At 39.0% G+C, this 25,484-nt stretch overlaps 1 protein-coding gene and 1 long non-coding RNA gene across 2 annotated transcripts, besides 1 other annotated feature; one reads left to right on the forward strand and one right to left on the reverse strand.

Moving 5' to 3' along the window:
* On the reverse strand, positions 1-17,799 carry GBP4 (guanylate binding protein 4). Its single transcript, NM_052941.5, has 11 exons — positions 17,652-17,799; positions 15,967-16,161; positions 14,154-14,281; positions 12,160-12,269; positions 11,761-11,957; positions 10,118-10,363; positions 8,895-9,175; positions 7,439-7,651; positions 5,857-5,959; positions 5,190-5,383; positions 1-4,326 (listed from the first exon to the last, which is right to left on the reverse strand). The coding sequence occupies exons 1-11, from the start codon at positions 17,689-17,691 to the stop codon at positions 4,111-4,113; spliced, it is 1,923 nt and encodes a 640-aa protein (NP_443173.2). The 5' UTR covers positions 17,692-17,799; the 3' UTR covers positions 1-4,110.
* On the forward strand, positions 17,204-25,212 carry LOC107985076 (uncharacterized). The gene is made up of 3 exons (XR_002958332.2): positions 17,204-17,265; positions 17,360-17,915; positions 24,641-25,212. It is a non-coding gene; the product is annotated as an uncharacterized LOC107985076 (long non-coding RNA).
* Positions 17,603-17,897: a silencer, noted in NCBI's record as "tiled region #13956; HepG2 Repressive non-DNase unmatched - State 21:Repr". NCBI's record gives its function as "represses a minimal TATA promoter and a strong SV40 promoter by Sharpr-MPRA in HepG2 cells {active_cell/tissue: HepG2}" and the evidence as "EXISTENCE:reporter gene assay evidence [ECO:0000049][PMID:27701403]".
* Positions 25,213-25,484: the final 272 nt, after the last annotated feature.

A 25,484-nucleotide genomic window follows, 5' to 3' on the forward strand; every position in this document is an offset into this window, starting at 1 on the left:
TTTGTGTGAGCAATAAAGCTTTTTAATCACCTGGGTGCAGGCTGGCTGAGTCCGAAAAGACAGTCAGTGAAGGGAGATAGGGTTGGGACCATTTTACAGGATTTGGGTTGGTAAAGGAAAATTACAGTCAAAGGGGGTTGTTCTCTGGCGGGCAGAGGTGGGTGTCACAAGTTGCTTAGTGGGGGAGCTTTTGAGCCAGGATGAGCCAGGAGAAGGAATTTCACAAGGTAATGTCATCAGTTAAGGCAGGAACAGGCCATTTTCACTTCTTTTGTGATTCTTCACTTGCTTCAGGCCATCTGGACGTATGTACATGCAGGTCACAGGGGATATGATGGCTTAGCTTGGGCTCAGAGGCCTGACATTTAGTATATTTACTAAATAGATATAAAATATATTTACTAACTATAAGTATATATTTACTAAACATATACATTTATATTTATATGTACTATATAAATACCCAATAGTAGAATTGCTAGACAAAATGTATGTACATTAAAATTTTGATATACAATTCCAACAGATCACTCTCACTAGCCAATATGAGACACAGTCAGTTTCCCTAACTCTGTGCCAGCTCACTGTCCTGTTCTTCCTATGACAGAGTTGAAACAAGAACCTTATAGTTTTCCTTTGAACAACTTTTATTGTTAGTAAAATTCAACATTTTTAATCTCATATTTTTGTCTATTTAAAAAATGTGGCGTTAATAACATTAAGCCAAGAGCCAAATCAGGAATGCAATCCCATTCACAATTGCCACAAGAAGACTAAAATACCTAAAAATACAGCTAACCAAGGAAGCAAAAGATATATATAATGAGAATTACAAGATACCCCTGAAAGAAATAAGAGATGTCACAAACAAATGGAAAAACATTCCATGCTCATGAATAGGAGCACAGCTTTGTAAATAAAGGACATAGGGTGAGGAAGCCGGGTTGTTTTAAGAAGCCTGTGTCCCCTGTGAAAAGGCCCATGGCATATCTTGTAGAATTACAAGGAGTTCATTCTGTAGCAGGATGAGCTGCAGACAAAACTTCTCAGACACCGAGTTGGAGAAGGAAGGGCTTTTTTCAGCTGGTGGCATCAGCAAGCTGCTGCCTTAAAATCCAAGCTCCTTGAATGCACAATTTCTGTCCCTTTTAAGGGCTCACAACACTAAAGATTTCACATGAAAGGGTCATGATTGATTTGAGCAAACAGGCGGTACATGACAGGGGCTGCATGCACTGGTGGTCAGAGAGAAACAGAACAAGGCAGTGAGTTTCCAAATGTTCTTCTATACAATGTCTGGAATCTATGAATAACATCGGTTTCTAAGTTATGAGTTGATTTTTTTTTTTTTTTTTTGAGACGGAGTTTCGCTCTGTCGCCCAGGCTGGAGTGCAGTGGCGCGATCTCGACTCACTGCAAGCTCCGCCTCCTGGGTTCACGCCATTCTCCTGCCTCAGCCTCCCGTGTAGCTGGGACTACAGGCGCGTGCCACCATGCCCGGCTAATTTTTGTATTTTTAGTAGAGACGGGGTTTCACCGTGTTAGCCAGGATGGTCTCGATCTCCTGACCTCGTGATCCACCCGTCTCGGCCTCCCAAAGTGCTGGGATTACAGGCAATGAGTTGATTTTTAACTACTGGGTTTAGGCCAGGCAGGCCCAGGCCTGGTTTTGGGCCTGGCGCTGGGCTGCCTGTCTTTGGTTTTACTTCCTTGTTGTTTTTTCTTAAAACAGGTACTGAGTATCAAACAATATAAAACAATATAAGAAGGTCTCTCTCTTCCCTCAATTCTAGCTGCAAGTTTTGAGCACTAGACAGCAGAAATAAATTCCTAAAATGTTGAGTTGAGCAAATAGTTCAATGCTATCCCTATCAAACTACCAATGACATTCTTCACAGAATTAGAAACTACTTTAAAATTCATATGGAACCAAAAAAGAGCCTAGCCAAGGCAATCCTAAACATAAAGAACAAAAGGGGAGGCATCAAGTTACCAAACCTCAAACCATACTACAGAGCTACAGTAACCAAAACAGCATGGTATTAGTAGAAAAACAGACACACAGATAAATGGAACATAACAGAGAGTCCAGAAATAATGCTGTACACCTACAATCATCTGATCTTGGACAAAGCTGACAAAAACAAGCAATGGGGAAAGAAGTCCCCATTTAATAAATGGTGCTGGGATTACTGGCTAGCCATATGCAGAAGATTGAAACTGGGCCCCCAGCTTACTCTGCATACAAAAATCAACTTAAGAAGGATTAAAGACTTAAATATAAAACATTAAACTATAAAAACTCTGAAAAATAACCTAAGAAATACCATTCTGGACATAAGACTTGGCTAAAATTTCATGATGAAGATAACATAAGCAATTGCAGCAAAAACAAAAACTGACAAAGGAGATCTAATTAAATTAAAGAGCTTCTGCACATCAAAAGAAACTATTGGCCAGATGTGGTGGCTCATGCCTAAATCCCAGTACTTTGGGAGGCTGAAGCAGGCAGATTGCTTGAGCTCAGTAGTTCAAGACCAGCTTGGGCAACATGGAAAAACACATCTCTACAAACAAATACAAAAAATTAACTGGTCTTGGGTGTAAGCACCTGTAGTCCCAGCTATGTGGGGGGTTGAGGTGAAAGGACTGCTTGAGCCTGGGAGGTTGAGGCTACAATGACCCATGTTTGTGCTACTGCACTCCAGCCTGGGTGTCAAAGTGAGACCCTGTTTCAAAAAACAAAAACAAAACAAAATGAAACAATTAACAAAGTAACAGACAACCTACAGAATGGTAGAAAATATTTGCCAACTATGCATCCAACAAAGATCTAATATCCAGAATCTATAAGAAGCTTCAAAAAATTTACAAGCGAAAAACAAGCAACCCCATTAAAAAGAAAGTGGGCAAAGAACATGAACACATTTCAAAAGAAGACATATATGCATTTAAAAAGCATATAAAAATCACTCATCATCACTAATCACTACAGAAATGCATACCATCTCACACCAGTCAGAATGGCTGTTACTAGAAAGTCAATAAATAACAGATGCTGGCAAGGTTGTGGAGAAAATGGAACACATACACTGTTGGTGGGAGTGTAAATTAGTTTAGCCACTGTGGAAAGCAGGTTGGTGATTCCTCAAAGAACTCAGAATTACCATTCAACTCAGCAATCCCATTATTCCCAAAGGAATGCATATCCCAAGGAAATATAAATCATTGTACCATAAAGGCACATGCACGTGTATGTCCATTGCAGCACTGTTCACAATAGCAAAGATAAGGAATCAACCTAAATGTGCATTAATAATAGGCTGGATAATGAAAATGTGGTATATACAAACACCATGGAATACTATGCAGCCATAAAAAACAACAAGATCATGTCCTCTGTAGCAATATGGATGGAGCTGGAAGCCATTATCATAAGCAAACTAACACAGGAACAGAAACCCAAATACCACATGTTCTCACTTATAAATGGGGGCCAAACAAAGAGAACACATGGATACTCAGAGGAGAACAAGAGACACTGGGGTCTACTTGAGGGTGTAGGTTGGGAGGAGGGAGAAGATCAGAAAAAAACCTATTGGGTATTATGATTAATAATTGTGTGATAAAATTATCTGCACACCAAACCCCCATGACATGCAGTTTACCTATGTAACAAACCTGCACATATACCCCTGAATCTAAAATAAAAGTTAAAAAAATTAAAAATTGTGGAGCTGCTCTCTTCTCATTAATCGGCAAGAGCTAGTCATAACTGAAATTATTTCTGTGACTATAATATAAATTGCAAATGGTTAATGGCTTCTTAATCTTACCAGTTGTCTTTTTGCTTTCCTTAAATCTTTTCTAGGAATAATGTCACTACTTCTGACTTGTTTCCCATGTTTATAAATTATTAGTTCAATCAAAATTAAGTTTGTTTTTTGTGGATGTCAGGCCCTGATATTCTTTGATAATCACTTTTTAATTTTAAACTTTTCTTGAATGAAACTGCTATAACACATATACTTACAAAATGAGCAACAGTGTTATGTTATTAAAATAAAATAAACCTCATTTTATATTTTCTTACCTGGAATATTCAGGCTCTTAAATACGTGAGCCAAGATATTTTGTCCCTACTCCAAGTAGCTTGGAAGCCCCAGGTAGAGTGACAATCATTATGTTGCTAGCCATGTCAAGGATCTTTAAGAGCCTTAACTGTTCATTTTTAGTGCTTTCAATTTTTTCTTTCAGTTGATTAATCTCTTTATTTAACTGCTCAGATTTCTTTTGAAATTCTTCCTTAAGCATTTCTTCTTGTACCTATAAAAGGGAAATAGTCCACTTTTGAAAATCTCCAATTTTCTTCAGGAGTCAGAGTTTTGTATTTAACTAATTCAACGTTTAAGCATATGTGTCTATTTCTCTATTATCTTAGAAAACGCTTTGATGAATTTGTGTAACATTTCCAGATGATTGGACCTGAATCATGGGAGTATACATGGTTTACCTTTTGTGACATTCCCTAAGCAACATCTCACTGGAGGTAGAAAGAAATTTTGTTCCAGCACAAAGAATGCCCTTCGAGAGGGAATGCAGGTTTAATTCTAATTAATTCTAATTTCCACTGGTGTAGCAAGGCCATGCTCATCTAGCAAATAACGGGGGACTGCTGACCCTGTATAAAACATTGGTTGTCAAGCTTCAGGTTGGGACAAGGAATATGTTTTACTCTAGTTGTATAGGATGAATCAGGCAGATACAGAAACAAATGGAGCAATTTGTGATCTTTCAGTATCATTTCATATCAAGCCAAATCTGATACTTTCATCCAGATGGATCTATTTCAGGTACTTTAGATGGTTGTGCCAAAAATCGCAAGGATTGGTGGACTAAGGTCCTATTTCATTGGGGCACAGTGAGACCATCCTGTAGTCACCACAAACAGCAGCCTGGGACCCTGGGAGATGTCATGTGTACTCTCCAAAGTCTAACAAGAAGAAGATGGTGGATTCTTGTAGACTTTCGGGCTTCAGTAGAATTTAGATGTATTTGAGATTTTAGTGAAACATACAACTTTTGTGTTTCCTTCTGGAATCATGACTGTGCCTAAAATTTTGGTCCTTCCTTTCCTAAAGAAGCAGGGCATTGTCCCTCAGGCACTGCCATTCTTCACGGAGACTCACCTTCAGCTTGTGTTTTAGCAGCCTTTCATGCTCTCTGAGAAGGTTTTCCCTTTCCTCCTCCAACTTCTTCTCCATTTGGGCCATGTATTCCTGGAAGCTTCTCTCTTGAGCCTCCATCATTTGCTGCTGCTCCTTCTGTTTTTCTCTTAGCAGCTCCTGTTCCTTCTCAGCTGCTTCCTTCATGGCCCGCTCCGCTATTCCACAAAGGTTTTAGAGAGGGAAGAAAATGACAGTTATTCCTGAGTTCTACCCTCCTGAGCTCAGATCAAACTGACTCGGAGAAAAGCACAAAGGTGAGGGATTGGGAATCTCTGAATTATCTCACTAGCCATGTCTGGAAGAGAATGTTGAATAATGTGATGCGAAGGCACTGGCTGGAGGTTCAACCCCAATCTCCTTGCGATTTTGAGATTTAGCAGAGTATATGTTCTATAGTGGGAGGAAGCTCCCTCCTCTATAGTAAGAGAAAGCAAATTCCAAGTATACAATATATTTTTTAACTATAGTCGCTGTGCTGTACATTTGGTATCCAGAACTTATTAATATTTTAACTCAATGTTTGTGACTTTTGAAGCTCCTTTTAACTGGAATATCTTTCAGTGTGATCAGCAAGAAGGCATTGCAGGAAACTCCCAATCCCTCTGATAGCTGAGCCCTGCCCCTGTACCTGCTATGGCCTTCTCTCCAGCAGTGAGGGCTTTGTCTGACTGCAGGATGGATTCCTCTACAACCACCTGTGACTGCAGGAAGTTCTGGAGGACCTCGTTTGCCTGAGGAACCAAGAAAGAGCAAAGACCTGTCAGGCAGCAAAGGTCTCATCTTATGATGGCGAAATTATTGTTCAATAAAGTCACAAATCTAACCCTGTAAACTTTGCATAATTCTTAAGATCCAGTGGTTTCTTTTCTTCCACAGCCACAAGAAGTCCAAGCTCTTTGTTAAGTCATAAAAACCCTGTGCAGCAGCCTCCCTCCTGCCTGTCCAGCCTCCCTCCTGCCTGTCCAGCCTCCTCTCCCAGGGATGCTGCTCACCACCCACCCCCGGTGCAGACAACCCGACAACATAAATGGGCAGTTCTACAAATACACATTCTCAGTTTTTGATTTGACATCAAAAGCACAGGCAACAAGTGCAAAAATAAGTGGGACTACATCAAACTAAAAATTTCTGCAAAGAAAATAATCAGTAAAATGAAAAAGAATTTTCTTCCATACAGAATGGAAGAAAACACTTGCACACCATAAATCTGATACTGGGTTAATATCTAAAATACAAAAGGAAATCATATAACTAAATAGCAAAAATAAACACTCAAAAAACCAATAAATATATTAAAAAATGAGCAAAGAAACTAAATAGACTTTCGTCAAAAGAAGACCTGGCCAACAGGTATGTGAAAGCATGGTCAACATCACTAATCATCAGGGAAATGCAAATCAAAACCACAGTGACATTTTATCTCACACATTTTAGAATGATAATTATCCAATAGTCAAAAGATAGCAAGTGTTGGCAAAGATATGGAGAAAAGGGAATTCTTGGAAACTGTTTGTAGGAACAGAAATTGGTACAGTCCTCATGGAACACAGGACAAAAGTTTCCTCAAAAGGAAAAATTCTGAGTTTCCAATGGCTGTCAAGTACATAGGTCAGCCCTATCAGCTCCACCACTTGCTGGCTGTGTTGTCTTAGGCACTTTATTAACCTCTCCATGCATTACATTTCTCAACTGCCTATGTGGACGATAGTGGTACCTAATTTACATTATTCCGAGAATCAAACTGATAATCCAACAAAATCACTTCCTCTGATATAGGAAGTGAATCATCAAGATCATCATCATCATCATCATCATATTAGTACATACCAGTACGATAACCGTAATTGTACCCTATCCAGTCAAATATTAATTTGTCCATCTCAGGTAAAATAATACACTTCTGAAAACATAGTTGTTTGCTTCATAAGGTATCCTCTGCACTTAGCACAAAAACTATCCCATTAATTAATAAATATAATAAATGGGTTGTTTCATCTGGATTCATGATGTTAAATCCTCTTGGAGAAGAAATATTTCTGATTTCTTAAGAGTGTCTAACTAACTGTGGATTTAAATACTAAAAAACTCAAAATAGCATCATGTTCTGCTTCCTCTCCACAAATGGTGCTATATTCTTAGATTTTCAGAAGGGGCAACAAAAACCCTCTGACTATCCTCTGTTATCCATCCCCCATTCCCCTTTTCCTCACCTTAACTCCTTTTCTGGGCACTAGCTTATAGTCCCACTCAACCTGTTTCTTTTCTTCTAAGTAGAGATTGTGTCCTCCAGGAACAGAGAAAATTCCTCTCAAAATGCTTTCTGTCAGGTGCTCTGAAAGCCGCTTAAGCTCAGCCTGGCAATATTTGGCAGATGCCTCTTCATTCTGCAGCACAAAGTCTCCCTTCTTTTTCTCTATGGTGTCCTGCCAGAAAAATGTAGAGAAAACAGTAGAAAGAAGCTGTTAGAAGGGAAGGTCCAACTGTGATCCTCTTGGAAGAAGTAGTCTGAAGGCCTCAGAGTGGACTGGGATATGGTGTAGACCAAGAGTCACAAGAATGATTTTGTTCCCAACTATGTGATCTGTGTGACCTGTGGAAAGCCCTTTAACCCCCCAGGGGTCAGGCTCAATATCTGTAAATTTATGTGGTTAGAAGACATAAACTCTATGGTTCTTTTAGGTATAGTATGATTAATAGGGATCCAACCTCCAGTAATGAGCAGTAAAAAGTTGAATTCTGGCTGGAAGCAAAATTTCCCCAGAAAACATAGGTTGCTATGTATAAAAAATATACATATGGCAAATCAACTTCACAGTAATGAATTAAGCATATTCTGATGAGAAAAATGAACCATCTGTGTATTTCTTCAATGAGAGTTTGGATATGTGAGGATACAGGAACAGAATTTTCTTTTGTTTGTATTTGTAAGTTACAATCCAGTTGCATTTTATCACTATGAATTAAGAGATTATTGTCACTTTTAGGTCAGTCTGAGACAGACTGAAAGACAAACTTTCAGTAAACATGCCTATGGTAAGTAGATTTAAGATGTCCCATAAGGTTTCTCACTCCTTGGTATCCACACCTGCATAGTTCCTGGGCCTATGAATATGATAGATACTAATCCTGTGATTAGATTATGTTGTGTAGCACAAGTTGACTTTGAGAAATGGAGTGTGCCCTGTTGGGCATGACCTAATCACATGAGCCCCTTAAAAGTGGTTTTCTCTAGCTGGTGTGAGAAGAGGAATTCAGTGAAATTAGAAACATAAGGATTTCATGCATCATTGCTGACTTGAAGATGGATGGGTTTACCCAGAGCCTCTATATGAAATCTAAGCCTCTTTGACACCTTGTTTTCAGCCTGTGGCACACTGAGCAGAGTACCCAGACACCCTGATAAGGACTTCTGACCTACATAACTATGAGCTAATAACGTGTGTTGTTTTAAGCTGCTAAACTCATGATAATTTCTTTTGCAGCAATAGAAAAAAAAAGTGACAATCCTCTAGAAGAAGGGTGACCTATAGCCCATAGAGCCCTGTTATTCACAAGAAACCATGGTCTTTCCACAGTGGTAAGGAGATGAACCATGGGGTCAAAAAGCTACACTTTATGCATCATTTCGGAAGGGCAGAAATCAGGAAGGATAAATGCTAAAAGTACCACAAGCTTCTTCTGGAATTCATGGTTTTCATCCTTGAAGGAGTGCTCCATGAAGACTGCAATGGCTTCCCTCTCACAGGCTGCATGCACGTCCAGCAGCTCCTGGAGCGTGTCTGTGGGGAGCCTCAGTTGCTGGGCCATCTGCTGGCTATAGTGGTCGGCTGCCCTCTGCACAGCCGCTGGGTTCTCAAGCTGGGCCAGTGCTGTCACTGCATTCTCCAGACAAGGTACTGCTCCACTGTTGATGGCATCTACATAAGTCACCACCAGAGTCCCCAGCCCTGAATCACATATATTTAGGGAAAATTTACAGTTCTTACTCATTATTTATACAAGTTTTAAGAGTCAGCATTCTAAAAATTACAAAAATTCTAATTATCTTGAAGTTTCTTATCACTCCTTTATTCTCTTCCTCCTCCTTTTTCATCTTCCTCTATGAATTCAACTCTTTATAATAACATCCCTATTTTTCCTATTCACTCTTTTTTATGGCTCTTGGATTCACATTACAAAATTAAATTACCCATTGCAACCAATATGTTTTTGTGTTTTATGGAAAAATACATTTCCATTTAAATACCATATAAATGAGTTTGTTAGCAGGGAAAGTAAGTTATATAATTTGTGAGTCCTACTTCCAAATAAAAATGCAAGTCCCCTCATTTCTTATTCTTTACAAGGGAACTTGCATTTTTATTTGGAGACAAGAAATTTTTATTTGAAGACAGTAACATAAACCATTGAACCAAGCACAGGCCCATCTCACCATAGGGAGTGGACGACTACACAGGTTGCATGCCATGAAGCTAGCCCCGTACTTAATATGACATTTAAATTTGTTTCTCAAACTCTCAATGAGCTTGCATGGAACTCATGGCCTGATGTTGATTTCCTGACTAATGTAAATTTATAAAATATATTATATATCTTCACTGAGAAACACTAATCCTATAGGACTTTTCCTCATCATGCAGATTTCTCTCCTTAGGAGTTTGTGTTTATGCCATTAGTGTATTAATTTTGTGAGACATATTAGGCCTCAAGAAAGTTTCACATGAGTAAACTTTAATTAAGAAACATTCATTTCTATGTGTGCAATGAACATCTCCTTCTCTGCATTCCTATACAGAAGCAAACAATATTATTGAAAAACTTGCAGTCATTACAGCTTCAACACATCCTGGACCACAGACAGACATGCTTTGGGACAAAAAAAGACTCACGCTTTCCAGTGACAATGATTCCCTCTCTCAGGGTCTTGGTCTTTGCATGGGTGAAGATATAAGAACAGAAGTTGTCTGATTGCATAAGGAAATGCCTTTCCAGATTTTCTTCTGGCACTTCGTCCATATGATTTAAATATTGCTTGTCATTTGTAGGCCGGTCAAAGACAAAGCACTTCCGTTTTCGGAAGAAATGCCTGATACACTCTCTAGGCATGTTTGAATTTTGAATTTTGGGATTCTTGCCTGTGGAATTGTAAAAAAGAGGGCTCATTGAAGAGACAGCCTGCAGGCAAGGGGGCTGAGGACTTTTCCAGGGATCTTTGCATCCCTGCAGCTCCCCTGCCTTGTAAATCTTGTTTTATGCAATCATACAAAACAGCCTTGTGCTAATCCAATGAAGGCATGGAAAATCCATTTTTGTACAGGAGCGAGAGTCAGGAAAGAACTCTTGGAGAGGAAGGGAAGACATCTACCACAAAATGAAGAAACTTATGACTGGTTTCCTTGGCTTTTGTATGCTAGCCAGTAGACTATGTATTAAATGTTTTTGAATGATTAATTAAATGAAGCAGTTGTCAGAAATACTTTCTGATATTACAGTCCTATGTCAGAAGTGAAACATGGGCCCTAAATTAAAGCAACGCTAGAAATAAGAAAAATATGTTTCTTAGAAAAATATCATGAAGGTGAATGATACCCAAGTCAGTAATAAAAATAAAAAGTATTTCAAAACCAGAACCCCAAATTATAAACACCATAAATATGTTTAGAGATTCCTTTATCTGAAAAATCCAGAGTAAAGTTAATACAGATATAACTTGGAGACCTCACCACCTTTCAATGTCAGATTACATTAGGTCTCACATTGTCTTGCAGAGGGATTCTGTGGCATATATCAGTTATTCAAAACAAATGTTTGTTGAAAGGATGAATAAATGAACAAAGATGGATATTGATTGTAGGTGCCAACAGGTATCCACTCTGCTAAATATAGTCTGTTTAACAAACGTATAATAGATTGACAACATATTTTATGAAGCTGTAGAATGAAGTAGGTGATGTTATGAAAATAGTAAAATGAAGGATTTGACAGTCTTACTGGAAGCATATGTGTTTTTTTTTAACTTCCTGGATCGTTTGCTGTATAAATCTCCTTTTTCTCTAAAGGATGTAACTATCCAGGCTAATGAAATAGATAGGGTGAAATATACTTCCAAAGTTAGATCATTTGACTTCTTGTGATTCTGTGTTTACCAGCTTCCAAGCTTATTAGTTAATTTCTCCAAATAGAATAGGAGGAGCATTTGAAGCTAATAAGTAACACAAATATATGAGTCTTAGGATGTGATAATATTAATTGTAATCCTCAATATATTTTTCATGATACTTATTGGTCTAAAATGATTTGATAGAACTTCGAGTTTTAAATTTCCTCAATGAATTTGAACCTCAGCCTCTGGGAAATTTCAAGTAAAAATAACCACAAAAATCATAATCACTTGTCAATCACCAACCACCATGAGCATGGGCCTCAAATCAATCCAGTCTAATGTAAACATTTGTGTCAGGTGCTGAATAGCAGGTCTTAGTTGATCCTACCCCCCACTGAACCTTCCCACATCCAGGCCATGCTCTGATACCTGGAATCAGCTTCAAGGCATTCTCCAGGTACTCATCTTCTGTGATGGGGTTTCCATCTAACTTTAGCTCCAGGGTAAAATCCCGAACAGTCCAAATAAAGTCTGGAAAGAAACTCGCAAACTCGCTGGAGTCCTCAGCTTCATCAGGTCTGGGGCAGGATTTTGCCCTGATTAGCTCTGCTAGCTCAGTCACATAGCTGGGATCTCAGCTAAGGAAGGATAGCACCCTACACCATCATTTCCATATCTCACTTAGAAACAAGTTTTATACACGTTCCCTTTTGCACTCTGTCTTTTCTTACTCAACCAGGACAACTGAGTCACAGCAAAGAAGACACAGTATCAATTCCCATTCCCCTAAACCCCATAAAACCTGCTCTTCACTTCCCAGAAGGATACTGCAGCTGCTCCAGGGCCTGGTGGTTGATGGTGCTCACGCTGTTATAGACAAAGCTGCTGCTTAGAAGCACAGCCAGGGCAAAGATCCACGAGTCATTCTTAGGGTTACTCTAGAAAGCATATAAAGCAAAAGACTTAGGAGTATTCTCTTCATTCATTCATTCATTCATTTGGTTGTTCATTAGCTATTTCAGCTGTATGATAGTTGAATAATAGGGTAAATAACAAATTTTGAAGCCAATGCTGAATTCAAACTTCATATTTAGATTTTTACATTAATCCTTTTCAGGCTATCGGTTCATTTAGCAGAAATGAATGACATTGTCAATGTGAGTAACATTCAATAAAGTGCCTAGAACATAATAGGTGCCAAGTAATCAGCGTGCAATTATTCCATTGCAATTTTGTTCTCACTCATGGCATATTAAGGCCACAAATGCTATTCAGTTAAGTTCAAAAACTTTACATTGTGTATCTGACAAAATGCAGACCCTGCATTTGGTTTTGTGGATATAAAGTTCCTCACGACAGTCCCTGCCTTCAAGAAGATGGCTTTCTGGTGCAGCAGATAAACATGTCAATATACAAATTCAATCAGAATAATAATCACTGCTGGGGGAGGAAAACCCAAAGTTATAAAGTATAAAACAAATAAAAAGAAGGGAGGGGGAGGCACATAAATGTGAATAGTTACTCTGTGAATTCAGGAGCAAGAAGTGATTATGTTTGACAGGCATATGAAGGCAGCAGTTTGAAAATAGTTGCACTTCAAAAAGTTGATAGAGTGTGGACTTGTGAAGAAGGACGGATAAAGCAGGTGGAAAGATCAATAGAAGCCAAGTCAGAATTGTCACAGCATGGTCATAAAAGGGCATTACACAGTTATTTCATTTGCCTGAAGCAGTGAGTATGCATGTTGGTGAAGTGGAAGAGGAGGCTGGAAACAAGATTCATGGCAAGACATGAAAGGGTTTTTAAAAAAATTTAGATGGTCCCCAAATCACATTACAAGTTCTAAGGTCAGCTAGTAGTTCTGCTGCTGCCATCAGTTTATGTTTTGATATGTTTTGATCGCTTGACAAACGTAATTAGACACAAAGAAGTTTATGAAAACTACAACATATTAAGAATAAATGTTTCACTTTGATATTACACTAAGAGAATAATTCAGACCTTTAATACTGAAATTTAAAGTTCAGAATTGCTAAGTTGGTGCTTCCTTCCCTCAACTCCCTTTTTTCAATAATGGAAGCCAAGGATCTACTGCTGCTACTTTCAATTCAGACATAAGACTAATGCAAATAAGAAGAATGGACTGATCGCACCTAACACTTTAAGACAAAATACCTAAAGTTATCTCACTTACAATATTCTTTGTGGGTCTAATTCATGCTATTAAAGAAGTCAGTGGAGAATTAATCTCCAAAGCTCAGAGAGTTGAACCAAAATGTTAGTGATAAAATTAATGCTTTTCTGAAAACTACTGAAATAGATTCCTTCACTAAAACCCTATTTTTTCATGGTCCCCTCCTCCAACCCCACACGCCTTAAATAGTAGATCCCATTGTTCCCATGGGTTACAACTTTCTCCAACAAGCCTTCTCTAAGTCGAATGACTGAACTAGCTTCTCACTTTTTGCATCTGTGAAACCCTGTACTTATCATACCCCATATTTCTTGTCTTCACAACTAGGCTCTTGGCCTTTACCTTGTTTACTGTTTTATCTGTAGTACTCAGTACAGAGCCCTGGAATTCATCTCTTCAATACATATTTATTAAATTATATCATTCACTCCAGTGTTAAAAATAAGAAGATCTACTCTTAAATATGCCTCAATACTTGAAATTAATAAGGAAGTCTGAGGAAACAGAATTTAGCCTCATTATTCATAATTAGATTTGAGTTTACAGAGATATGTACAGAAGTTGAAGGGAGCTGAAAAAATTAAAAGATGAGAGGTCAACCATGAGCGGTGAAGTTTCTCTGCCTTACCTTTTCTACATCGCCCAGGCCCTCGGTGTCCAGAAGGACCAGGGTGTGGTTTGGCTTAGAGAGGTGGGGCACACACCACATCCAGATGCCCTTAGTTTCAGACTGCACCGTGGAGCCCAGAGGGAAGCCTGCAGGGAAGAGGAAAAATAACAAACAGTAACAGTGGATAGACCAGGATGTCCCAGGATTACACCGGTTAAACTTGTAGGAATGTTTAAGTGGCTGACAGGGGAAAAGGGTTGTTTCCATCTCAGGCAGGACAACTAATCTGACCTTTATATGTATTAAGAATTTTCTCAAACTTGTTTTCTTTCTTAAACTTGTTTAGTAGACAGCGGTTCAGTCCCTAATGGTGCCGAGCTGCTGAGCCAGAGAGGAAGTAGGACATTAGGGGGAAGAAATGGCTGCATGGTCTTTCTTTAAAAACAGAAGCACCTAACAGAGCCATAGGTAGATTGTCTTAAAAGTCAGTAAGAACCAAAAGAGAAACCTGGTAGGAAAAAATAATTTAAAAAAAAAGCTTTCACAAAATAAGAAATGAAAATGGCAATTGATATGTGAAAAGGTACTTAAACTTACTCATAGTGAAATAAATGGCATGCAACAATACATTCTACAGGGCAGCACAAGTTAAAAGGCTTTATGTTACTGAATTTTTCGCAGGATGTAAAATTCTCAGTCACTGCTAATAAGCATGTAAATTGCATTTGAATTTTGAAAAGCTATTGGACTTTATCTAGAAATTTTATGTACTCTCTGATTCAGAAATCCCACTTCTGAGAATATTACACAAAGGAAGATTTTGTACATGTGCACCAGGATATAAATAATAAGAGTATTAATGACAGCCTTATTCATTAAAGATAAAAACTGGAAAAATACCAATTTTCAACAATAAATAAATGTACTGTCCTTAGGTAGTGGCATACTGTCTGAGGGTATAAATAATGGGTACACATAGTAACTAGAGAAAACTTATAAACTTCTTATTGAGCAAAAGAAGCAAGACATCCAAAAATACACACAATATAATTTCCTTTATGTAAAGTTTAAAAGCAGACCAACCTAAACTATGTTTTAGAATGCATATATATTATGTAGAACCATTTTTAAAAACCAAGAGTCAAAGAAGTGTGCCCTGAAAACAAAAACACTGGTGAGTTCTAGTGAAGGTATGACAGGGTATGATTTTTGGATGTTTAGGTTTGGTAATGTTTTATTTCTTGATCTGGATAGTGATTTCTCATGTATTCACTTTATTAACTTCACTGTAAAGGTATGTTGTACATACTCTTCTTTATGTGTCATAGTTCACATATTAGAAAGACTAACTAGAAGGGAATATAATTTATCAGAGTTTTGCCATGAAATGAAGCAAAAAATTAGAAATGGTAGCCCAATTTAAATAGAGGATACACAAGAATTATAATGCCTGTCCTTCTTCATATTTATTTTTTAAAACAGGATCTATTAAACTATATTTGTGTGCTATTTGAAGTGACCAGGTATCCTACACAAAAGTGATGAATGAGAAAGAAAGGGAATAATTGCTGGGGCTGAGCCCCTGAAGAGGTGAGCATAGATGGGATGAAGAAGACCCATGGAACGGATCTTTCGATAGGGTTGAGATGATTCTTTACTATTGGACTAAAGAGTGATATATATTTGAGATTGTAAATTTAGTGGTGAGAATTAGAAGTTTTCTTCATTGGGAGAAGTCATGCCCTTCTTTAGGATGACCCTAGAGGGGGTGTGATCAGCTGTGTTATCACTGGTTCCAAGTAAATGGCTCCTGTCCTAGGACCACACTCACCATTGCGCTTTCCTGCAAGACGATTCATGAGATAGGATTTTCCTGTGCGGTATAGCCCTACAATGGCCACCACCACCACGGGCTGAGAAATCTTGTCAAGAATCTCTAATGCCTTTGAATTCACTGTCAGCTGCTCTTCCTGGTTTTCCACTAGACAAATGGGGGCCATCATGATGGATTCAGATTCTGGATAACCTGTAACCCAGAAAAAAATACTCAGTAGAATACAAGATCTTGAAGTCATCCCTAAGGGCTACCTAAGGCACATACATATTAGCTTTTTGCTTGTGGAATGGTATATAAAATTTCTACATTTTAATGGTATATAAATATATTTCTACGTTTAATGGTATATAAAATTTCTATGTATATAAAATTTGTACATTTCAAATGGAAAAATATTTAGTTTAGCATGTCAAAGACTAGTACAGATCTGTTATGTACATTATTTATGATTCTTACAAGAACGCTAAAAATGCCTTGTCAAGGTGATGCATAAAATAAACAGAATTAGAAAATCAAGGCACTGATGGCAGAATAATTCCACTCCTGGAATAAATAGGGGCAGGATGTTACAAAAAGGAGATGAGGAGTGGTTAGAAAAGGCTCCAGGCATTCCAGAAGAATTTGCTCTCTCATTAATTTAATAAAGAGTATTGCGTACCTACCATGTGCTAATTAACACCGTTCTAGATTCTCAGCAACAAGCAAGGAACATAATTGATACAAACTTCTGCCTCTTGGAGCTCTATTTGTTGTAACCCAGCGAGTTACAGAGAAACGCCACACTCTGAGACGAATTCAGGAGTCCTTTATTAGCCGGCGACCGAGAGACGGCTAGTGCTCAAAATTCTCTCGGCCCGAAGAAGGGGCTAGATTTTCTTCTATACTTTGGTTTAGAAAGGAGAGGTTGGGGGGAGGGGTCTAGTTAAAACAATCCTACAGAAGTAAAGTAGGCAAAAAGTTAAAAGGATAAATGGTTACAGGAAAGTAAACAGTACTAGGTGCAGGGGCTTTAATTCTATCACAAGGTGATAGAAGCGGGGCTTTGGGCTTTATCAACCAGACACAAACGCGGGGGGCTCTGGGTGCTGTTAACCGGGCGAATTCCTGGGAACTGCGGGTATGGCTTGCCACAGTACCTTATCAGTTAATTGCATTCTTGGATGTGCTGGGAGTCAGCTTGCACAAGTTAAGTCCCTGAGGAAGCGGGTGGGTAAGGGGCTGCAAGTGAAGGAGCCGAGATGCAGACTGTCTGGCTCTTTCAGCTAAGGGAGAGTCAACTCAGGTTAAAACAAGGTAGGGTATCACATATTCTAGTGGGGGACAGAAAATTAATAAAACAAACAAGCAAAAAATGTGTATATGTATACTAGATGATGGTATTTCGCAGGAGAAAATGCCACAGCTCTGGGAGGAAGCCCGAGGAGGAGCAGCGCATCCTGGAGACACCGGTGCGCCTCTGGTCGCCGCCTGTGGACCGTCTAGAGACGCTGGGCCACACGGAGCAAAGCACTCAGGGGTTCAAGCAGCATCAGACTTCCCCGCGAGGTTCCTCCACTGCCTTTGTCACCCGCCAGTGTGAAGTCTCCAACCCTCCCCGTGTGCAGTCTGCGCTTGGGAATTTGTTGTTGTTTGTTATAACCCAAATATACTTGAAAGGTAAAGCTTAAGAGCAAACTTACCTGGTGTGGGCACTGCAGCGTGAAGAGTTCTCTCACCCATTGCTCTGTCCTCCTGCGCCTGGATCCTCGAGAAACGGACTGTTCTTAGAAGCTGAAAGTCCAGCCGGATTTACAGACATCCAAGTAAGAGTCTGTGAGAACCGAAATTGAAAGGACATGCACTTTGTGGGGAGTTGACTGTTGGGGATTTTCCTGTTTATCAAGACAGGAAACTAAAGGAGCTTGAAAGTGCTGGTTCCTCCACACCAGACTCCTGAAACTCAGGTTTGTTTGTCCCTCTTCCACCCTTAGCTTAGGTATCTTTCGCCTCCAAAATGAATATAGAGCAGCAGACATGAATGTTGTTTCATCTACCTGTCTCTCAGGGGTAATTTTGTCAGGGAAGAAATTTGAGTTTTTGTTTGCTTTTATTTTTTTTTACATGCTTATATGTTTCTGTTTCTCATCTCTTTTCTTTATTTTTTCATTAACCATAAAATATGTGTGTGTTTGTGTGTGTGTCTATGGATATCTATGTATCCTCTAACGTTGTTGCCCAGAGGTGCGGTGGTGGCAAGTAAATACTTCTCTTTCAAAACACAAACATCTCATTGAAACTGGATCTTTTGGAGGACAGGAGGATGATTGGACCATAAAAAGCATAATTTATAATTAGGAGTCTTACCCAGGCTACCAGAAAAATGGACTCAGTTCCTAAAATGACTAGCCAGTTTGTTAACAGAGTTTGGGAAATCTATCTGAAATAAATGGGTAATGATTCCCCATTTGTGCCTATCCCTTAGATCTTCCTATTTGTTTAGTAATGTCTGATTAAACATTTGCAAATTAATAAGTACAAAATTTTAGGCACTTAATCAGGTAAAATTACTGGTGCCGATTTTGATTCAAAACTTAACATTTATTTCCTATAAGCAATATTGAAAGTGAAAATAAAGCTAAGTCAAGTTTTAAATAGGACCAGTAATAAGAAATCAGGTGCTTTTTTCTCTTACCATTTTTTAATGTCAGGAAGTCCCTCTCTCTTAAAAAAAAAAAAAAAGAAGAAGAAGAAAAAGTACAGGGATGACTGAATCCAGGTAAATGTGTTTGAAACACCTGAATTTCACCAGTGGCACCCCTTTCCAGATAATCCAATGTTACTGACTTCAGATAATCATGGAAATGTTAATCAAGAAGAAATTTAGGCTGGGTGTGGTGGCTCACTCCTGCAATCCAACCATTTTGGGAGGCCAAGGTGGGCAGATCACTTGAGTCCAGGAATTGGAAACCAGCCTGGGCAATATGGGGAAACCCCATCTCTACAAATAATAATAATAATAAATTAGCTGGGCATAATGGCATGTGCCTGTTATAATAGTCCTAGTTACCTGGGAGTCTGAGGTGGGAGGATGACCTGAGCCCAGGAGGTCAAGGCTGCAATGAGCCATGGTGGTCCCACTGCACTCCAACCTGGGCAACAGAGTGAGATACTGTCTCAAAAAAAATTGTTAATTCACAGTTGTATGTATAATGATTGCACATAGCAATATGTCTATGCACATAGAAAATATACATAGCAATATGTCTGTGTTACACAGATAAAAGTCTATAAGTGTTCCCCCAACCACTACCTCCTTAAAATTAGTACTTCTAGCTCAGGTGATTTTTTTAAAATGTCTTTCTGAATTATATGAATTTTTAAAGACTTTTTTTATAATCACAGATATGCACACACATACTCATAAAAAGGAAATAACTTTTATTTTGATAAAAAGACTCTGAACATTTTTTGAATATTTTTCCATATCAGATTTTGAGCTTCTTATTTATACATTTTTTGAATATTTAAAGTGCAATGTCTATATGTTTTTGTATTTTGTGGTTAACTTGTAATTCATTTACAAGATGTATCAAATAAAACAGTTTTTTGAAATGAGGGTGTTTTACTGGCTCACTGATTTTGGAAGGAAACTGGAGGAAATGAGTTGCAGATGTTTTTAATCTCACTGAGCAAGGCAAGGAGACAGAAAGTTATGACGTTAGTAGATCATACAGGGCAAGTGATAATGTTATCTGTGTGTACTTACTTTAATATAGTTCAGAATAGTCACTGTCGTGTGTGTGTCTGTGTTTTTACAAATTGACATTCTGGAGGTAGTGATAAGCATATGAATGGCCCAATCTGGAATGATCTCCTGAAGAAGAGGTACCCTGTTCTGTGTCAACACCAAATTCTTATCAACTGGCATAAAGGATGTAGAAGTAATAATAACACCATTGTTGTTTAACAGAGGTGATTGGCTCAAAAAATAAGCATGAAGAAGTGTCTTTGTCTGTTTGGGCGTCTATAAAAAATAAGTAAATTGGGTAAGTTATACACAACAGAAATTTACTTCTCACATTCTTGAAGGCTGAGAAACACACGATCGAGGCATGGGTAGATTGGGGGTCTGATAAGGGTATGCTTCCTGGTTCATGGTTGGTGGCCCCTTGATGTGTACTCACATGGTGAAGGGCAAGGCAGGTCTCTGGAGTCTCATTTATAAGGGCACTAGTCTCACCAGTTTCATTCTCATGACCTAAGTTCATTCTCACTTCCTAAATGACCCACTGTCTAATACTATCACACTGGTGATTAGGTGTCAACATTGGTGATTAGGTGTCAATATACTTTGGGGTGATGGGGAGGTGCAAACATTCAGACCACAGTAAGAATGAATAAAATCAGACAAGCCTCCAGGCCTATGCCATCTGTGCAGTGTTCCAGTTGAAGAGCCCTGCTTTTCACACTCCATAGAGGATTTTGCCACTTGGTCTAACTTCAAGGCCAGTCACAGAGCCTCACCATATTCAACTTGGAATGAACTCTGGCTTCAAAGGAGCAGCGTCCATAGGCTAAGAACACATTACATGACTATTTGCAGCTACTTGCTATTGAATTTTTGACACAATTTAATCCAGGATTTTTTTAGTGTCATGTAACTGAAACAAAAATGGTATCAAGTATTGGGGGATGGGGATTTATGACTTCTCTGAGTTCTAACCACAAGGGGCATTTCACACTTTTAAAAATGATTCTATAACGCTTCACATTACTATTTAATTACTGATCAAAGCCAATCTACTCAGTAGTACCCAGGAACAACACATTTTCTTTGAAATTAAACAAAAGAGAGTATATTAGAAAGATGAACTAAAGCATTCAAATGAAAATGTGGGGCTCGTCGTTAAAAAAATCATCAAGAAATTCAATATAATAATTTCAAATCAAGCATTGACTTTTCTGAGGCTATGGTACTACATGACTGCATAATTTGCTTATCCATGAAGACAGAGCTATACATAAGATTTTTTTTTCTGAAAAACACTCTTTTCTCTCTTTTCCCTCTTTCCTTTTCTCTTTTCCTCTTTTTCCTTCTTTCATTTGCAATAATGCCAAAGATCTGTTGTTAGTTTTGATTTAGACTCAGAGTAATGTAAAATTAGGAGAAATCACACATTGCCCTTAATACTGTGAAGATCGAATACCTAAAATTATCTTATTTACACTATTTTACATAGGTTAAGTTCATGCTTTCAGAGAAGTCAGTGAAGAGTTAATCTCCAAAGCCCTTGGAGTTGGAACAAAACCTTTATGATGATCCTGATGTAGCTGAAGCTTTTATGGAGATTATTTAAATACATAACTTCACTGAAACCCTGTTTTCCGAGGCTTATGTTTCCAAATCGATCACTCTCGTGTGCTTTAACTGATAGCTCCCGGTGATTCCACTAGTTACGGTCCAGATGTTATTTCCTCCAAGAGACTTTATTTGGTTTATACAACTGAACTAGATCCCTACTTCTCTGCATCTATGGCACCCTGTTCTGATCACACTGTATGTGTGGTCTCCCTAATGAGGCTTTAGGCTTTTATCTTGTTTACTGCCCTTTTATAGTATTTAGCACAGAGCCCTGGAATTCAGCTGCTCAATAAATATTTATTAATTCTATTGTTCACCCCAGTGTTAAAATAAGATCTTATCTTAATATTCCAAAGTATTTGAGCTTACCAAGGAGAAAAGTTCAGGGAAACAGAACTTAATCTCATTCTTCATGATTCATATTCACATTTTGCAGAAATATTACAGATAAGCTGAATCAAGGTAGCCAATTAAATGTTGAGAATCAAGAGTAAAGAAGATTTCTTCATGACTCTGCCTTAACCTTCCTGCATAACCCAGACCCTCAGTGTGGTTCTGCTTGGAGAGAGTCCTACATCCAGAACCCTGGGTTCCAGACCTCATAGCAGAACCCACACAGAAGCCTGCTAAGGAAGAAGACAAAGCAACAGTACAGTGACAGCAGATAGGACAGGCAGTCCCAGGTATAAATTTGGTTGTAGGAATTGGAAATTATTTTATAGAGAAGAGTTGGTCTCTTTCTTATAATAACCTTAGAGTTGGTGTGATCAGGTGCATTATTATGATTCCGAACTAATGGTCTCTGTCTCAAGACCAGACTCACTATGGTTCTATGCTGCAAGATGATTCATCAGGTAGGATTTCCCTACACACTGTAGCCTTACAATAGTCACCATCACCACAGGCTGAAATATCTTGTAAATAATCTTTACTGTGTCAGATTAACCATCAGCTGCTCTCTCTGGTTTTCCACTAGACAAACAGGGGCCATGGTAAGCTGCAATCAGAAGAGTCTCTCAGTGGATAAGATTCCAAAGTCATTTCTAATGGTTGTCAAGGCATGAGCATATCAGCTTCCTGCTTGTGGAGCCTTTGTATCAACTTCCAAGGGAAAAGTATGTAGAATTGCACTGACAGATCATAGAGCTCTTTCTCCAGTATGCCCATTACTGTTGGTAAAATTGATGATAATAGGATATAATTGGTGTCTAAAGTCTCATTCTTCTAAAAATAATATTCTAGCTAGTGAATTCCTCTCTATATTAATGCCTGGTGCAGATGCTTTATGTACATTATGCATTGATCCTTAAAAGAACCATAAATTAAAGTATTTGATCTCTTCTACTAGATGAAATAAAGGCAGTAAAGATATAGGCAAAATGATTGGTTACATATTTCATAGTCAGTGGTTGAAGCAAGAATTGAACGGTGATCTATTTTTCTCACTGTATTACTTGCAAAAAACTAACCCGTCAGAATCAACTTCCTAAAATAAACTCTTTTACATATATAATAAGTGATATGGTTTGGATTTGTGTCCCTGTCCAAATCTAATGTCGAATTGGAGGAGGGGCCTGGTGGGAGGTGATTGGATCATGGGGGCAGATATCCTCCTTGCTATTCTCATGATAGTGATTGAGTTATCATGAGATCTGATGGCTTAAAAGTGTGTGGCAATTCCCCCTTTCCTCTCTCTCTCTCTCCTGCCACCGTGTGAAGAAGGTGCTTGCTTCCTCTTTGCCTTCTGCCATGATTTTAAGTTTCCTGAGACCTCCCATTCATGCTTCCTGTTAAGCCTGTGGAACTATGAGTCAATTAAATCTCTTTTCTTCATAAATTACCTAGTCTCAAGTAATTCTTTATAGCAGTGTGAGAATGGAAATACAGAAAATTGGTACCAAGAGTGGGGTACTGCTATACCTGAAAATGCAGAAGTGACTTTGGAACAGGGTAACACAGAGGTTGGAACAGTTTGGAGGGCTCAGAAGAAGACAGGAAGATGTGGGAAAGTTTGGATATTCCTAGAGACTTGTTGAATGGTTTTGACCAAAATGCTGATAGTGATATAAACAATGAAGTCCAGGCTGTGTGGTCTCAGATGGAGAGGAGGAACTTATTGGGAACTAGAGTAAATGTCACTCTTGCTATGGTTTAGCAAAGGGACTGGTGCCATTTTGCCCTTGCCCTAGAACTTTGAATTTGAGAGAGATGATTTAGGGTATCTGGCAGGAGAAATTTCTAAGCAGCAAGACATTCAAGATGTAACCTGGCTGTTTCTAAAAGTGTACTTTCATATGCATGAAGAAAGATAATCTGAAACTGGAACTTATATTTAAAAGGGAAACAGAGCATAAAAGTTTGGAGAATTGCAGCCCAGCCATGTGGTAGAAAATAAAATCCCATTTTCTGAGGAGAAATTTAAGCCTGCTTCAGAAATTTGCATCAGTAAAGAGAAGCTGAATGTTAATAGCTAAGACAATGGGGAAAATGTCTCCAGGGCATTTCAGGGAATTTTATGGCAGCCCCTTTCATCCCAGGCCCAGAAACCTAGGAGGGAAGAATGGTTTTGTGGGCCAGGTCCAGGGTCCAGCTGCTCTGTACAGTCTTGGGACATGGTGCCCTGTGTCTCAGCTGCTTTAGCTCCGGTCATGGTTAAGAGGGGCCAAGGTACAGCTCAGGCCACTGCTTCAGAGGGTGCAAGCCACACGCCTTGGCAGCTTCCATGTGGTGTTGGGCCTACGCATGCCCAGAAGGCAAGAGTTGAGGTTTGGGAACCTCTGCCCAGATTTCAGAAGATTAATGGAAATGCCTAGATGTCCAGGCAGAAGTCAGCTGAAGGGGCAGAGCCCTCATGGAGAACTTCTAATAGGGCAATGCAGAGGGAAAAAGTGGGGTTGGAGCTCCCATACAGAGTCTCCACTGGGGCACTGCCTAGTGGAGCTGGGAGAAAAGGGCCACTGTTCTCCAGCCCCCAGAATGGTAGATTCACCAACAGCTTTCACTGTGCAACTTGAAAAGATGCAGGCACTCAACATCAGACTGTGAAAGCAGCCATAGAGGCTTTACCCTGCAGAGTGATGAGGGCAGAGCTGCCCAAGGCCTTGGTAGCCCACCTCATGCATCAGCACATCCTGGATGTGAGACATGGAGTCAAAGGAGATTATTTTGGGCTTTAGGATTTAATGACTTCATGCTGTATTTCAGATTTGCATGGGGCATGTAGCCCCTTTGTTTTGGTCAATTTCTCCCATTTGGAATGGGAGCATTTACCCACTGCCTGTACCTCATTTTATCTTGGAAATAACTAACTTGTTTTTGATTTTACAGGTTTGTTGGTGGAAGGGACTTACCATGTCTCAGACGAAACTTTGGACTGTGAACTTTTGAGTTAATACTGCAATGAGTTAAGACTGGTGAGTGTTCAATAGCAAAGACTTGGAACCAACCCAAATGTCCAACAACGATAGACTGGATTAAGAAAATGTGGCACATATACACCATGGAATATTATGCAGCCATAAAAAATGATGAGTTCATGTCCTTTGTAGGGACATGGATGAAACTGGAAACCATCATTCTCAGCAAACTATCGCAAGGACAAAAAACCAAACACCACATGTTCTCACTCATAGGTGGGAATTGAACAATGAGAACACATGGACACAGGAAGGGGAACATCACTCTCCGGGGACTGTTGTGGGGTCGGGGGAGAGGGGAGGGATAGCATTAGGAGATATACCTAATGCTAAATGACGAGTTAATGGGTGTAGCACACCAACATGGCACGTGTATATGTAACAAACCTGCACATTGTGCACATGTACCCTAAAACTTAAAGAATAATAATAATAATAATAATAATAATAATAATAAAAAGACTGGTGAGTGTTAAGAAGGCATAATTGTATTTTTCAATGTGAAAAGGACATGAAATTTGGGAGGGACCAGGGGCAGAATGGTATGGTTTGAATTTGTGTCCCCACCCATCTCATGTCAAATTGGAGGAGATGCCTGGTGGGAGGTGATTGGTTCATGGGGGACAATTTCCTCCTTGCTATTCTCATGACATTGAATGAGCACTTATGAGATCTGATGGCTTAAAAGGGTGTGGCACTTCCCCTTTCTCTTTCTCTCTCTCCGCTGTCACCATGTGAAGAAGGTGCTTGCTTCC

The sequence above is a fragment of the Homo sapiens genome, chromosome 1, assembly GCF_000001405.40.
Source record: "Homo sapiens chromosome 1, GRCh38.p14 Primary Assembly".
NCBI lineage: Eukaryota > Metazoa > Chordata > Mammalia > Primates > Hominidae > Homo > Homo sapiens.